Source organism: Homo sapiens, chromosome 10, assembly GCF_000001405.40.
Source record: "Homo sapiens chromosome 10, GRCh38.p14 Primary Assembly".
NCBI lineage: Eukaryota > Metazoa > Chordata > Mammalia > Primates > Hominidae > Homo > Homo sapiens.
The window spans coordinates 13439509-13455516 of NC_000010.11; the positions used below are offsets into that span (position 1 = coordinate 13439509).

General features: G+C 43.5%; 1 protein-coding gene across 47 annotated transcripts in view, besides 2 other annotated features; it reads right to left on the reverse strand.

Moving 5' to 3' along the window:
- BEND7 (BEN domain containing 7) overlaps positions 1–16008 on the reverse strand; it is a 91154-nt gene that overhangs the window by 1028 nt on the left and 74118 nt on the right. For 14 of the 47 annotated variants that reach the window (XM_047424786.1, XM_011519393.4, XM_005252402.6 and 11 more), the window contains 2 exons: positions 13031–13150; positions 7758–7811 (listed from right to left, as the gene is read on the reverse strand). In XM_047424786.1, coding sequence (XP_047280742.1) covers positions 7758–7811; positions 13031–13150 — 174 coding nt within the window. Of the gene's footprint in view, positions 1–1579; positions 6053–6578; positions 7812–13030; positions 13151–16008 lie in introns of those variants that run through there. The other 33 variants (XR_930476.3, NM_001369863.1, XM_011519411.3 and 30 more) reach the window with 21 other exon arrangements.
- Positions 75–802: an enhancer, noted in NCBI's record as "H3K4me1 hESC enhancer chr10:13481583-13482310 (GRCh37/hg19 assembly coordinates)". NCBI's record gives its function as "activates a minimal SCP1, AML or CMV promoter by ChIP-STARR-seq in naive H9 embryonic stem cells {active_cell/tissue: H9 hESC(naive)}" and the evidence as "EXISTENCE:reporter gene assay evidence [ECO:0000049][PMID:30033119]".
- Positions 1140–1239: a silencer, noted in NCBI's record as "silent region_2155". NCBI's record gives its function as "represses an Ori minimal core promoter by ATAC-STARR-seq in GM12878 lymphoblastoid cells {active_cell/tissue: GM12878}" and the evidence as "EXISTENCE:reporter gene assay evidence [ECO:0000049][PMID:35858748]".

Here is a 16008-nt window from a genome sequence, read left to right on the forward strand (position 1 = left end):
ATGAATGAGTGAATGAATGAATGAATGGAGTAACTCACCTGTCTCCTCCAAATCGTCACACCCTGTGTCCTTATCTTAGTGAGTGCAAGTGACACCCCTCCTGGTTCGTCAGCCAGAAACTTGGTGTCAGCTTTGACACATTCTCCCTCCTCCAGCCTGAGCTGATTCTTTCTCAGGCGTGGCTTTGTGGGTTTTGAGCCCCTTCCAACAGCCTCTTCTTGGGATCCCTTGTCTTCAGCCCGCCCCCTCCTGCGAATGCTCCCTGCTTCAGCCAGGCGGATCGACCTAAGATAGGACTCCGATCAACACCTTTCCCTTCAGATGCTCCGCGGCTGCCCGCGCCGTCCCAGCCCCTCGGCATGGCGCAAGGCTAGCACAGTTTAGTGCCAGGACTTGGCCCCGCCTCCCCTCTCGCCCGTCTTTTCTCTTTTATCCCGAAACCAGTCGCCCTAAACACCCACAGTGTCTGCCCAGTTGGTGTTCAGTAAAATGGTGCAGCTGAACTCGGGTGCTGCTGGGAAATGAGCCAGCTGTGTCCCCAGATCCTTGGGGAGGGGGGTTTGGCGGCTGGAGGATAGGAGAGGTGACGACTGAGGCAGGTGTGCAAGCGTCTTCCAGGGGAGCCTCCTGTGGCGAAATGGGGTCCCCTGGCCATTGGGTTAGAGAGGTCTTCGAGCTGTTCTGCCAGGATACCTCAAAGCACCCATCCCTGCCAGCCCTGTGGGATCAAGGGCATCCCAGAGGCCTTGGGCCAAAAGATATGACGTGGGTCCCTGACACAAGGGACCCCAGGAAGCTGGGGGCATCAGGGCAGAGGCGAGGACTGGAGCCTGACTCCAGCTTCAGAGCAGCGCGGACACCTGCAAGACTCACGGGCTGGAGCCCACATCTGTTTTTGCAACAGCTCGCCCTGTGGCTCCCTGCCCAGGTGCGGGTGCCTTCCCAGGCAGCAGCTCCTGCCCCTACCCGCCCGCCTCTCCTCACAGCTGTCCCAGGCCCCTGTAAAACCAGGGGCCCAGAGTCAGACCCTGAATTGAACCTCCGAAGAAGCTGGATTCCAGCCCGCTGGTGCGGCCCGCTCAGAGCAGGGGACAGAGCACGCCCGCGGGAGGCGGCGGGGGGCAGGTGCCCGGCGAGGAGTGGCGCCCTCCTGTGTTCAAAGAGGGGAAGCGAGCGATTCTGCGGCTGCAGCCGCTCAGCATCGGAGAAGATTGATTTGTCCGTCTGATGTGTTGTTTCCATAGAAGCAGGGCTTAACCTTTTAAGTGAAGATTATAAAGCTACCTAATTCATTTAAAATTAGGCTTCAAGCATCTCTGTACTTAACGCTCAAGTGTTTCTGTGGGACTTGCTGTAGCCATTGATCTAACAGCCAGACACAGCCTTTCCAGCGTCTGAAGCCTTTCACTCTGGCAGCAATCTAGGTGGTCTCTTTATTTTTAAAAATTAACTTCATCAGGAGATATAACTTCTGTGGGAGATCATCAGAGTATTAATGATACCTTTTAATTAATGAACAGCACTGACTTCTCTTCATAAACACAGGAAGACCGGCACACAGGCAAGATCCGCACGCACGTTCAATTAAAGTAATTTATTGTATTCTTCCAGATCAGACATAAAGAGCATCTTGGGAATTGATACCACAACACAATGTTATACACCATTTTCACAACCAGGCTTGCATTGAATTCTTTTTTAAAGAACATAGTAATTTTAAAAAATCTAAATATTTACATATTAATAAAACATATATACAGAAGATTGAGACATTATCCATAGATATGGATTTTTTTTTTGCTAAGAAAGCCTATAAAAAGGTTTCTGAATAAAGACTGAACAGTAGTCACAGTAAGTAAACACAATTTTAATTTACAAAATATGATTTTGCTGTTGCAGTTTTGATACGTATTTCCAGTGTGTAGATCCGTTCATCGCACACATCTTTGGGTTGAACAAGCTCCACCCGTCCTCAAGTGCTGAACACCCCAAGCTGTGGCCCCGCCTTGGAAGGCAGTGCTTCTGAAGGTTCCCAGCAGATCTCTTAACAGACCACAGTTGGAAGTTAGCGTTTCTGCCTTGACCAGCAACATACTCATCCTATTTTAACACGGCGAAAGGTCACCAATTAATCTTCTCCCTTCCCTTGGGTAGTAGCTCCTTGTGGGAGGCAGAGGACGGATTTTAAAACCCATGGTGCAAAAAACACAAGAGCTGTGGTTTGCAGTCCTTCATCAGACCACTTGAGAAAACAAAGGGACTGTTGTCAGGAACGGGATTACTTACTGGCCAGAAATGGAAAAAGGCTAACAAAAAGGTATGATGGAAATAATTTCTCCAAACCTTCCTTGTAGCCCCCCAAAAGAAGAAAAAGAAGCCACACATATATGAGATGTAACTTGTCTAGTAGTTAGATTGATTCTACAAGCCACGCCTAAAGCCAGCTTTTTGTTACAGTACAGGGATGCCTTCTCTCATCTTTGATGACTGGCTGGTCTTTGGTGGAACAGGGATTTATCCCAGAGGGCCTCTCCTATCTCTAGGTTTAGCGTTTCAGTGTGATGTGACATGAATACCTTGGACAGGGTAGTCAGGAAATTCGGGTTCTAGGCAGGGCCCCAGCCACGGAGGGGTTAACGGGCTCTGGGCAACCGCTTACCCTCATTCATCCTCAGTTTCCCGGGTGGGACTGAGTAGCCTCTACAATAACTTTTAGCTCTTAACATTCTGTGCTTTGCCAAATCCAGGGCTAGGGGAAGGCACTGGAACTGCTAGTGGACAGGTGTGAACCCCGGGTTTGGTGATGTGTAGTCCAAATTGTTCTCATGCCAATTTTTGGCCTTTGGGTCAAGTGGCGAAGATTCAATGCAATTTGCTTTATACAATAAATGAAGTGTAAATGCAGTGTTTCTAAATAACACAGTGTTTTAAATTCACCATCTTATTAGAGAAAGAAATCTGGAGGTAAATATTTCTATAAAACAAATACCTTCATGGCAAGATATCTTTTTAAAATAAATCCAGATTTTCATAAATTAGTTTTATATAAAGTGGAGGGCAAGTATACTAGGAACCAAATAAATGACATAATATTAAGTACATTTTTAGCTAGTTACCACATGGTGCCAAAACCCTGTAGCACTCCGTTAAGACCATCTGTTAAAATGGCTGTCAGGTATCATGTAGATAATTTACTGGTTTTCTCACCTTTTAATTAGTTATTTTGTCATTGTGTTGACGCAACTTAGGTGAAAGGTTTTTCTTTCCTAAGAACTCATAGGTCATTTGCACTTACTCAGTTACAAATGGCTATTTGGGGGGCACTGACGTCATGAATGATTTCATCTTACAGGTCAGAGCTATCCTATCTCCCAAAACAACTTTTTCATCTTCTAAGATGATGAAGGTCTAATTAATCTTGGCCTTCACAACTGCTCTCTCAGCACTGGAAAGAGCCATTCTCCTTTATACTGCATCTAAGCAATTTACATTAAAATAAATACGTTTCAAAGCTCTATATTCATACTGAGGTTTTGAATGAAAACAGGGAAGAGAGAACCACTTCTTTATAATGGACAATGAACTCACTGAATCATATGCTGGACTTTTAAAGGGTAACAAATCAACCCTAAAAATGATTTAAAAAATCTTATACCAGATTGGAGGCTTGGTTATCACACATTACAAAGAAAGTATATGAAACTATTCAAACATGACAGGTAAGCTTGACAGAACACCCACACTTTGCAGGAACCTGAAATGCTACGTGGATCTTTGTGGAAATTCAAACGGAAGTTACATATGCCACTCAACAATGTCACTAAAATCAAAGTCTAGGCAATGAAACCTGGTTCTGTGTCCTCCGTGTTTTCTCTCCTGGTGTCAAATATATTACCTACAACAGAGACAAGAAAATGAAGGCGGAGAGCCGCTTCTCTAAGGAAGAGTTGTACATGGTTCTGTGACATGGCTGGAGGTGGGCGTTCTGGACAAGTAAACAATTTACTGGGGAGGTGTCTGTGTTTCACACTTAAGTCGCTAAGTTTTTAGCCAAGGCTTTAGTTGTCCTCCATGAGCAATTGTAGAAATTGGAAATTTGTAATGATTTTTTATGAGAAAGGCCACGAATGTGTGTTACTATTAGAGTATATCCACATATTGTCCAGTCATGGAAAATGGCCTAAAAGATAATTTACCTGCAAAACAGAATATTATGCAGCTATTAAAATAATGCATATGAAGATTTGCCATAGAGTGGAAAAATGCTTGTTAGGTAAAAATCAAAAAAACATGTAGGAAACAAAATTTTACATATTTGATCTCCACTGTATAAATAAATAAAATGGAGAAACATTTGAGAAAAATCATCCAATAATGGTTGTCTGTGGGTGGTAAAAGCAATTGAAATGTTCTTCCTTACACTTTTATTAATTTTTTAAAAGTATGTAAAATGCCAATTTATGACAATTGCTAAGTCTAGATGAACATCCCCATTTCAAATTTGGAAGCCCCATTTTAAATTTTAGAAAGCACTGTTTTGATTTCACTTTCTCTATACTTTTTTTTTTAATGCAAATTGTCCCCAGCTCCTGGGTGGCTTTTCTTGAGCCCCAGACCCTCTCCACACATCTGTGCTATAGCATTTATGTAATTCCTTCTGCCTCTCACACTAGTCTGAGGGCATTTGTACACCAGCACCCAACACGGGGCTGATTCTTGGTAGTTGCTCAAAAAGGCTTAGTGAATAGGGTTAAGGGAAACTAAAATAGATGCACTACAGAAGGTGAATCCATTTCTGCTAAAGCCTGATGAACAGAAGGTTGCTTAAATGTAATGCATCCAAACAAATGTCATTTGACCTGCCTGTAACCCTACCCTAGTCACTTCTGGTTCATAGAAACACTTAAGCATTTACATCCCTTTCCCTGCCCTTCCCCCAAATACACAACTTTGGAAGGAGGAAAAAAGACCTTAAAAAAGTAATAAAAGCATTGTTGAATCTTTAAAAAGAACTAACTGTTGCTAGCTCAGATAAATGGGATAATGAGAGTCTGTATCAGAGCCCTTGGTCGATCCTGTGGTTCTGACCAGTGAGGCTCAAGCTCAAGGATGAAACCACATGTGCGAGAAAGGTGGAGTCCTTAAAGGGCACATGTGAGGAGGGGTGTTAGGAGCAGCACTGCATTCAAAGAAGCCAACCAGAATGGGGATTTTACTTTGGAGGCAATCAAGAGACATGCTATCCAGGTGAATATCAAGATTACTTAATATTATTACTGCAAAATTTGAGCATCAATCTGAGACTTCTTTTCCTTCTTTTTTTTGAGACGGAGTCTCGCTCTGTCACCCAAGCTGGAGTGTAGTGGCGCGATCTCGGCTCACTGCAAGCTCCGCCTCCCAGGTTCACGCCATTCTCCTGCCTCAGCCTCCTGAGTAGCTGGGACTACAGGCGCCCGCCACCATGCCTGGCTAATTTTTTATATATTTTTTAGTAGAGACGGGGGTTTCACCGTGTTAGCCAGGATGGTCTCGATCTCCTGACCTTGTGATCCGCCCGCCTCGGCCTCCCAAAGTGCTGGGATTACAGGTGTGAGCCACCGCGCCCGGCCTCTTTTCCTCTTTTCTAAATGATAAACGTTTTTATTTATCATGCTGCTTAGTGATTTGTATCAAATATCTATCAATAGTTTAATGAAAAGATCTGCAAGTGTGTTATACTATTTTCTTCATTATGACCTCACAGCCTTGGGTAAAGTTTGAGAAAAGACTGGAAGAAACGAGTTTCAGCTGCAGTGAACCGGGCCGACTGACGACGAACATTTTAATTGTGAAGACTGAGACAGTGAAGAGGACTCCTAAAGGGATTAGCACATCCATCATCTCTTAGGATCTTTAAGAAACATGCAGAGAAAAGCTGGCTTTGGCTTAGGTATGAGAAAGCTATATGGTATCATGGCTGGGAGTCGAGGGACCTGGGTTCCGGCCAGGCCGTCAACCAGCTGTGAGGCCGTGGGAAAGCCACTTAATGTTTCTGGGCCTCAGGCTTTTTTTCCTGTAAAATAAAAGGACTGGATAAAAAGAAGGGATTGGACTAGAGGATCTCTCAAGTTCCTTCTCATTCTCAGATTCCTTGACATTTTTTTCAGTTCCATGAGGCTCTTCTAGCACCCTCTGACCTCAGTTTTCTCACTGGAAACGTATCTCCAACTTCAGATAGGAAAATACAAAGGCATTCCGTACTCACCACTTGGGGGTGAATATAAACTTCAAGGGGAGTGGCTTTCAAATAATAAAAGCTCACTGTGTCACATGACACAGGAGGACAGGCAGTGCAGATGGCCAGGGTGGGAGGGCACTTGGGAAGCACAGCTAGAAAGGCATGGTGCTCCCCTGAAGGGCCTTCTGAAGGCTAGGTCTATTACGATTAGGATTTCATGGATCGGCTGGGATTGGGCCCAGGTGATAAGAATGAGGCTGATATGCGTGCCCTGATATTCAGAGAATGACAAATTGGGAAGGAACAACAGAGATCACGTATTTCAATTCTCTTAATTCACAAATGTGAAAACACAGCCAAAGAAGAACAGAAATCTCTTTTATATAATGACTCTGTATGGGAAGAACTTGATGTAGGCAGGTCTTTTTGCACTATGTAGCTCATTTGATTTATCTGTCCATTGATCTGTTGCTTAGCTACTCAGTGGCAGAGAAAGCAATGTGTCTCTTACACGGCTGAATTTTCCTGTTGCTCTGAAGCTCTGAAGTTCACTAGCACAGGCCCATCCTATGCCTGCGAATGTGGCTTTCCTTGCCATTTTGGGATATGTGCTGTCAATGAATACATGGCCTAGTCAAGTTCCTACACAACCTAGAGACTCCACTAATATTTGCTGAATTTAATCAACACAGACCACCCCAAAACTAGAGGAAAAAACATTCGGTTGAACCTTTTCAGTAAGAGGGTTTTTGGGGGTACCTGGGTTTTGTGGGCAGAGAATCTTCAGATATCCTTTGGAGGGAAGTCAGTAGAGTCCTGTGACCAATGGAGGGGATACATTGTTTTCCACAAGGCTCATTGATCAGACACCTGCCCCTCTGGCTCTCAGATATGAACCCATACACAGGTAGGAAGCCAGGGTCAGAAGCATTACTTGAGAGTCAAATAACATGAAGTTGGAATTATGTCTATGGCTTAACACAACAGCGTGCAGCAAATGCTTCCATGGAAGGGTATCTTCAGCTGATCTGGTCCTGGTATTAGGAATGTGCCACTCACGCCGGATGGCTGGCCTTGTTCAAATCGCTCAGTTAAAACATAGTATTCACTGGGTGTCCACTGATTGACTGCTCAAGGCTCCAAGGCCGTTTGGAGGAGGTGGGAGAGGACAGCCTAGCCATGAATTTGATCACACAAAATTAGTGGTCCCCGTTTTAAGGTGAAATCTCATTTCACGTTAAAAATATTTTGTAATGTCCAAAGGTTTGGGGAGGCAAAATGTTATGATACTTAGTTCTTAGGATTTGCTCTTCTGAGATTTTTATGAAAATAAGAGTGTGAGAAAAACGTTTTTCTATTCAGTATGAAAAACATCTCTGAGTACGGGGCCTTGAGAAGCTCCAATGACGGGGCCTGGTCCACTGCAGAAGCAGTTTGCTCAAGTGTCTGCATGTCTAATGTTAAAATCGTTTTCAATGCAAATAGTTTTGTGGGCTGTATTTTCCAGGAGGTGATGAAAATGTAAATGCGTTTTATTTACCTGTTGGTGGTAGAGCAATGCCGTCCAGTCTTTCATCACTGTCCGCGATCTCTGCTGGTTACAAACATAAGACACAAATCTCATTAGTTCCAGGGAGCACATTCATTTTACAGAAAATAGTGATGTAATTTTAAAAACTCCAGTATACATAACTGTTTTCACCATTCTTTTCTGTTTTCAGCTACCGTTGGTTCATATTACAGATGTTAATATCATTATTTGAATATTTTTTGATGATGGTGATATAAAATCAACTTTCCCGTATTAAAACTTTTTTTTTTTTTTTTTTTTTTTTTGAGACGGAGTCTCGCTCTGTCGCCCAGGCTGGAGTGCAGTGGCGCGATCTCGGCTCACTACAAGCTCCGCCTCCCGGGTTCACGCCATTCTCCTGCCTCAGCCTCCCGAGTAGCTGGGACTACAGGCGCCCGCCACCACGCCTGGCTAATTTTTTGTATTTTTAGTAGAGGCGGGGTTTCACTGTGTTAGCCAGGATGGTCTCGCTCTCCTGACCTCATGATATTAAAACTTTTTAAAATCTTATGAACCTCATTCTATTGATCACTGATGATTTCTGTTTATTTTCACTTATTTACATAGGCTTGAATATCGAACCAGCATGTGGGGTGAATTGTTTAAATAGGGTCATCGCGGGGATGTGTCAATGAATTCCTGCTGTAGAATTTGCACTTGGCATCGCCGGAACCACTCCTGGGGGGCAGCTTAGGAAATCTTGAGAATGAACCTTTCTTTGGAGATGGCTGATTCAGATCCTAGAACTGCCAATCTAACTCTGGCATTAACGTGGTCATGAAGAAGGAATAGGCGTTGCTTCAAAAGATTCTCCATTTCTAAGTTTTAAAATGCAAACCTTCGCTCGTGTCTGATAAATGTATCCATCTCCTTGGGAGTTTTCCAAAGGTAGATCCTTCAGTCACAAAAAACCTTCTGTTACATGCGAAAAAAAAGGTGCACGTGTGTCTCTTGACAAGGGATGGGCTTGTTAGTTTCCCGTAACATGTGGGGATGGGAAAACATCACATTATGGCCCCTGGGATAGTTTCGGTGGTGGCCTCCATGGCTCAGGGCCTGTGGTCCCCACAGGCAGGCCCCTGCTGACTGCATAATGTGCGTGGGCAGCCCTTGTGAGGCTGTTGAATGAGGTCAGCCTTGGCACCATGTTGTAACACTGAGTCAGAAGCAGCCTAAACTAGTGCTACGTACTTGTTTTTATTGTTGCTTTAAACATAATCAGGGCTTAGCTACGGCTAGAAATATTGTATGGCTCCCCTGTCTCCTTCATCCTCCAACATCTTGTCCTCAGATGGACGCTCACTGGCATTAATGAAAGACCCCTTGTCTGCTGACCTGCTAGATCCACCACAAAGAGAAATCACTGAGAAGGGATGAAATATGCAAGACCAACCTAGGTTGGATTAGATTAGCAACTGCTAAAAATGATGTTGTATTTGGGAGGCCGAGGCGGGTGGATCACGAGGTCAGGAGATCGAGACCATCCTGGCTAACACAGTAAAACCCCGTCTCTACTAAAAATACAGAAAATTAGCCAAGAGAGGTGGCAGGCGCCTGTAGTCCCAGCTACTCGGGAGGCTGAGGCAGGAGAATGGTGTGAACCCGGGAGGCGGAGCTTGGTGAGCCGAGATCGCGCCACTGCACTCCAGCCTGGGCGACAGAGCGAGACTCCATCTCAAAAAAAAAAAAAAAAAAAGATGTTGTAGATGAATATTTAACAACATAAAAATATTCAAACCATGGGATAAATGGTGTGATTAAGATTCTGGAAACAGGTTTATAGAAAAAATATGGCACATACTGAAATGTTAACTGTGTTTCCCTCTGGATGAAAGGCTTTAGGTATTTTAAATTTTGTTCTATGGCTTTTAGAAATTATTTTATATATGAAAAATAATGAACATATGTTATGTTTATATTTAGAAGACATTATTTTCTTCTAATTGGTTTGAGTGAGTTGGGGACAGATGGTCTTCATGGTAGTTCTCTCACTGCCTAGGATTTTAAAAATCCTTCAATAATAATAACAATGATAATCACCATGTATTAAATGCTCACGGGGCACTTGACATGCAGTGTGTCGCTGAACCCTTAGGACACTCTACAAGGTGGGTCTGTTGCTCTGCCCATCTTAACACATAAGGAAAGTGAGACAGAGGTTGGGAAACTCACTCCAGGTAACACAGCTAGTAAGTAACAATGCCAAGGACATGAGTCGCGTTAATGTCTGGGCTATTCGTCTCTTTGCTATTAATAGTCCAAACATACCATATGCATCGATATGAGCTAATTTCTTAAATCTTCGAGTTCTAGTTCATTTTATATTTTGGCAACTTTCTTTACATGTATAATTGCTTTTCATTTAGTTATAACAAGATCAGTTTTGGGTATAAACTGACCTTCCTTTTGTAATTCAGCTATCCTCCCTTTGAAAAAACAGGCCTATGCAATTATGTGCTTTAGTAAGAACAGAACATATATAACCAAAAAAATATATAGATGATTATATATAAATCAGAACACGCTAGCTGCATGAATAGGGGCTGAGAGTCAAGGAGGAAGGCACTGTTGTGTTACTCAAATTTAATTATAACATCTATCTGCAACAACAAGCTCACAGTCTTTCTTCCCCGGTGACAATCAAGTTGGTAAATTTGGAAAAGATTGAGCAAGTCCAATAAACATTTAACAGCAGTGACATCTTTACTCTGAGATCTAACACGATATATTGTGATTTCAGCTCTGAGAAAATCATCTGATGGCAATGATAAAAATGCACACCAGGAAAGGAATCACTGGAGCTATAGAATAAAAATTATTCCATGTGACGACAGCCCCAAATGAATTTCTATTTGGATTTGCATAACGGCCTTTCAAATCTGTGTGGGGCACTTCTTTTTTTCTAGAGGCAGTGCAGGCTTCCTTAAGTGGTAGCCAATTAGCTTGTGGAGTCAGAATCTCTACCTCATTCCAGGAATGGAGCCAGATATGACAAATAAGGTGGAAATTGTGCAATCTCTATGAGACACTGTTTGTATTATCATTTAGACTGAAAATCAGACAAAAAGCATGAGAGCAGGTAATATTATTGATCCAGACCTCTCGGTTCCTATCGGCATCATGGAAGGAAATACAAGTGGTTCTAGTTTCAATTTGCTGGGGCCCCACTTCTGTGCCCTAGAGGAGAATGATGTGGAACAGGATTTGACAAAATGGGGAGACAAACTGTATTTGGCAGGTCATTGCTGATGTGCTGTCATTTGGGTCTGCTTGTCAGGGTTGGTTTTGTCTTACAGCCACCTTCTACTTCTCAGTTGTTAATAGAACCTGCTAGGAACGCAGAAGAGAAGGGCCAAGGGAGCCGATCACAAGTATCTGGGCAGATCATCTAAACCAGTGGTCAAAAGTTACAATGTCCAACATCAAATATTCTGATGTCTAAGGGGCAGGAGCGGGCAAGTGAGTGGGGACTCCTCGAGGAGGGGAGGGGTGGGGAGCAGGCTGTGGCTTGGGTCTCATCCTGTAGAAGTGGGCAAACCTGGGGGGAAATGGGCATTTGTGATGGGAATTATTAATAGAAATGAGACATGGTTAGGGGATGTGTTCCCTGGCCAGTCTGCTTGGGGGAAAGAGAAGAGGGATGTGGCGGCACATCCCTACTGCATGCGTGCCTGCTTGCTGGTGGGACAGGGGAAGGGAATAGAGACCAGAACTTATAATAATCGGTCTCAGCATCTGACAATAGAAGGAAACTAAGGTGTGTTTATGTCTAAAATGTGCAGCATGGGGAAGGCAGCAGAACATTTACACTGTGTTTCTTACTCAGACACATGATCCACTGCCAGCAAGGTCTTTCTGGGTCCCTGAGAATAGCCTTCTACAGAATTTCTCCACCTTTTTTTTTTTTTTAAAGAAACAGGGTCTCGCTCTGTCACCCAGACTGTAGTGCAGTGGCCAGTCGTCGCTCACTGCAGCCTCAAACTCCTGGGCTCAAGTGATCCTCCCATCTTAGCCTCCCAAGTAGGTGGGACAACAGGTGCGTGCCATCTTGCTTGGCTAATTTTTAAGATTTTTTTCTTTTTTTTTGGTGTGTGTGTGTGTGTTTGTGTGTGTGTAGATAGGGTCTCCACAAAACATCTGGAGATGTTGCCCAGGCTGGTCTCGATCTCCTGGGCTCAAGAAATCCTCCTGCCTCAGCCTCCCAACTATTTTTAATTTTTGAGGAACCTCCATACTGCTTTTCATAATGGCTACACTAATTTATATGAAATTAAAAATATTATCTAGAGATTTGTGGCCTCCTAGAGATAGTTATTCTTTTTTTTTAATTGTACTTTAAGTTTTAGGGTACATGTGCACAACGTGCAGGTTTGTTACATATATATACATGTGCCATGTTGGTGTGCTGCACCCATTAACTCGTCATTTAACATTAGTTATATCCCCTAATGCTATCCCTCCCCCTCCCCCCACCCCACAACAGGCCCCGGTGTGTGATGTTCCCCTTCCTGTGTCCATGTGTTCTCATTGTTCAATTCCCACCTATGAGTGAGAACATGTGGTGTTTGAGATAGTTATTCTTATTTGATGGGAGAAAGCTGACTACACAGGGATTCTTCACTAGGAAATTGGCCCCCACTGTCACTTTGGGGAAGCTGAGACTTCAGTGACCAAATCTGAACAGTCACAATGAAACGGGTGCTCACTTTTCCTGGAAGAATAATCCCAGAATCTCCAAGCCCAGAATTTTAAACCCACACACACAACCCGTGCATGGACGTGTGAGCACACACACCCATCCCCCACTTAAAATCCCTTTTACTTGATGTGGTGTTGCTGATAGAAGAGCTTCTTTCTTCTTTTTTTTCTAACCTTAAGCAACTTGTACTTTTATAAAGTCATGCAGATTCAAACAAATAAAAATCAATAGGCAGACAGAAGCGAACCATAAAAGAGAGAACCGGTTTTCATATATGACAGCATTAGACCACAAATGAGATTAGCAATCTTTTTCACTTGTACTATTCAATGCAAGTGGCCTGACATAATTTTTACTATTTAGTCTGAAGGTGAGTTTCAAAATTCATTTGAATAAGACTTTAAGAGAGCAAATCAGCATATTATAAACAGTCTCTCCTTCAAAAGACAAGATGCTGAAATAACCTAGAGCCAAGTATTGTACTTTATAAAGTCTAAGAATTCATAAGTGCTTCTCCAATTATTTTTCTGCACCTTAGTCATACCTGAGCCTCTTTTTAACCTTCTTCTGGCCAGTTTAATTTGATCCTGTAGAATCTGTACCCAATCTCTTGGGCCAGGAAGCTTATCCACATGGTTAGCTGTACAGTACTTTTCTGTGAAGACTGAAAGAAAATGTAAAATATTGTTAAATACCTTAACAAGTAAAATATGCAGATCTGAAACAGAAATATATTCTAAAAAGAAAAAAAAGTAGATTTCTAAAGGAGGTCAGTTCTGCACGATATGTCTTCGGTATCTGTATTATATTTGTTTGGCAAAGATGGAGATTGACAGGTCCTGGGTAGGTCCAATGCATTGTGCTTCAAAACGAAACTGGCGATACTCACTAAGTAGTTTGTATGGAAGCTACTCTTTCTACTGGCTCCACATCCATGTGTATGTGTCTTATAGGCAGAGAAGAAAATGCTTCCTAAGGGTCTACTGACCTTATGACAAGGTTTAGCAAACGTATTAAAAGAGTTCACTTTTTTGTTGTCAATTCAAAATTGAACGCAAAATTAACACGAAAAGATGGTCTTTCTCCTGGTGATTTCTACTAACTCAATCACTACTCAAATAATAATGCAGTTGGTGTCGTGATGAAAGTTCCAATTCTACTTTAAGTCAACCCTTTGCACACCACACGAGCTCCCAGGAAAGAACTGCCCGATTCAGCACAAAGGGGACTAAGGAGAACCCCACGGTAGGACACAAGGCAGGCGGGACAATGATCGTGGGAGGGCTATGCACAGTGTGTGGCCGCACACGCAGCGCTGGGGTTGACATTTCCACCTCACACACACTCCTGAGCACTTTGAAACTCATCTTTTCAACTTGTCCTTCGTAAGGTCAAGATCTGGTAGGCCATCACATCACACTGCCTCCTTGGTATTTAAAATATTGGTAATTTCGATGTTTTAAAAGGTTTCTCTTAAAAAAAAGACAAAAGAAAATATTGACAGATTCAACTAAAGAAAAAGGTAAAATTTCTATTGAATGAAAAATAAGACATTTCATCAGAATGAGAAAAGCTAGTTGTACTAAATGTGACCAAGAAGGTTCACCATCTACCATCAGATGAAGAGCTCATTCAAATAAAAGAGTAACTTCAAAAGTCCCCATAGATAAATGGGCAAAAAATATTAGGAAAAATGTTCCATTAATATGTTAACCAAAGAACTGCAAAACACACTTTATACCTACTAAAATCAGAAAAACAATGTTAGAAAGCTAATACTTGATACTGATAAAATTGGCACATTCACACATTACTATTAGTGCAAACAGGGAAAACCCTTTTGAGAAATAAGAGTAATATTTAATGGGAGACATAAAACTGTTATACCTTTGGACTGGTAATCTTACTCCTGGAAATTTATCCTAAGGAAATAATTTGAAAGAGAAAAGCGGCTATATGTGATCTCTACTGTCAAACACATGGCAACAATCCGATTGTGCAGGAAGAGATCGATGTCAGTAGCATGGCAGACACATTTCAAGGAGCCCAGAGAGCAGCAGGGAGTTCCCCTTCAGGAAGCTACTGCGAAAGCCGGAGCTAGTGACGCGTCTAGGGCCTCTCAGAGAACTGGCATTGTTTGGTTAATCACATGATGTGGTAAAAAGAGAAGAAAGGGAAGGTGTGTGAGCTGAAAGGACATCGCAGGCTTGGTTTGGAGCATGCTGTTAGGGGTGTTTGTGGAGCACCCACATGGAGATAGCAGATATAGTCCTGGTTCCAGGACCCCCAGCAGACACCAAAATCTGCAGATGTTCAAGTCCCTGATACAGGCCAGGCATGGTGGGTAATGCCTGTAATTTCAACACTTTATGAGGCTAAGGTGGGGGGCGTTGCTTGAGACCAGGAGTTTGAGACCAGCCTGGGCAATACAGTGAGACCCTGTCTCAATCAATCAATCAATCCATCAGTCAATCAGTAATCCGGGAGTGGTGGTGCAAGCCTGTGGTTCCAGCTACTCTGGAGGCTGAGGCAGGAGGATCTCTTGAGCCTAGGAGTTCAAGGCTGCAGTGAGCTATGATTACACCATTACACTCCAGCCTGGGCAATTGAGTGAGACTTTAAGCGACTTGTACAACTGTGCCCTGAGATACCAGAGCATACAACAGCAGTGGAGGGCCACCCAGCCTATTTGCATTATTTTTTATTGCTGCATTGAATTTTTTTTTTCCTGAATATTTTCAATCTGCAGCTGGTTGAATCTGTGGACGTGGAACCTGCAGACAAGGAGGCCAAGTGTATTTAGACAGAGAAATCTACAGTTCAGAGAAGGGGCCAAATTGAACACACTGGTTTAAGAGGCACAGACATACATGTGGTGGTTAAAACAGTAAGAGAGGCTGGGCGCGGTGGCTCACGCCTGTAATCCCAGTACTCTGGGAGGCCAAGGCGGGTGGATCACTTGAGGTCAGGAGTTCGAGACCAGCCTGGCCAACACAGTGAAACCCCATCTCTACTAAAAATAAAAACATTAGCCGGGCATGGTGGCACGCGCCTGCAGTCCCAGCTACTCAGAAGGCAGAGGTAGGAGAATCGCTTGAACCTGAGAGATGGAGGTTGCAGTGAGCCGAGAACGCACCACTGCACTCCAGCCTGGGTGACAGAGCAAGACTCTGACTCAAACAAACACACAACAAAACAAAACAAAACAAAACAGTGAGAGAGAGAACGTTCACCAGAGAGAACATGGAGAGTGGAAAGGGCACAGGCTGGGTTGGGAGCCCTGGGGAACGCCACGCTGCCAAGGAGAAGGTGGAGGCAGAAGAGCACATGAAGGGGCCCAAGCACGGCTGGCCAGGCAGGAGGGGTGGGGAGAGTGGAGGGGAGGCCACTGAGTGGTTCTCATAAAAAGGAGGGACCAGCACGCTGCATTGCAGAAGAGGGACAGAAGGGGCGGCTTGGTGCCCTATGAAGGTCAGTGAGGGCTGGGGAGGGTGGCCAATCTCAGGACACCTGGCCCAGAGA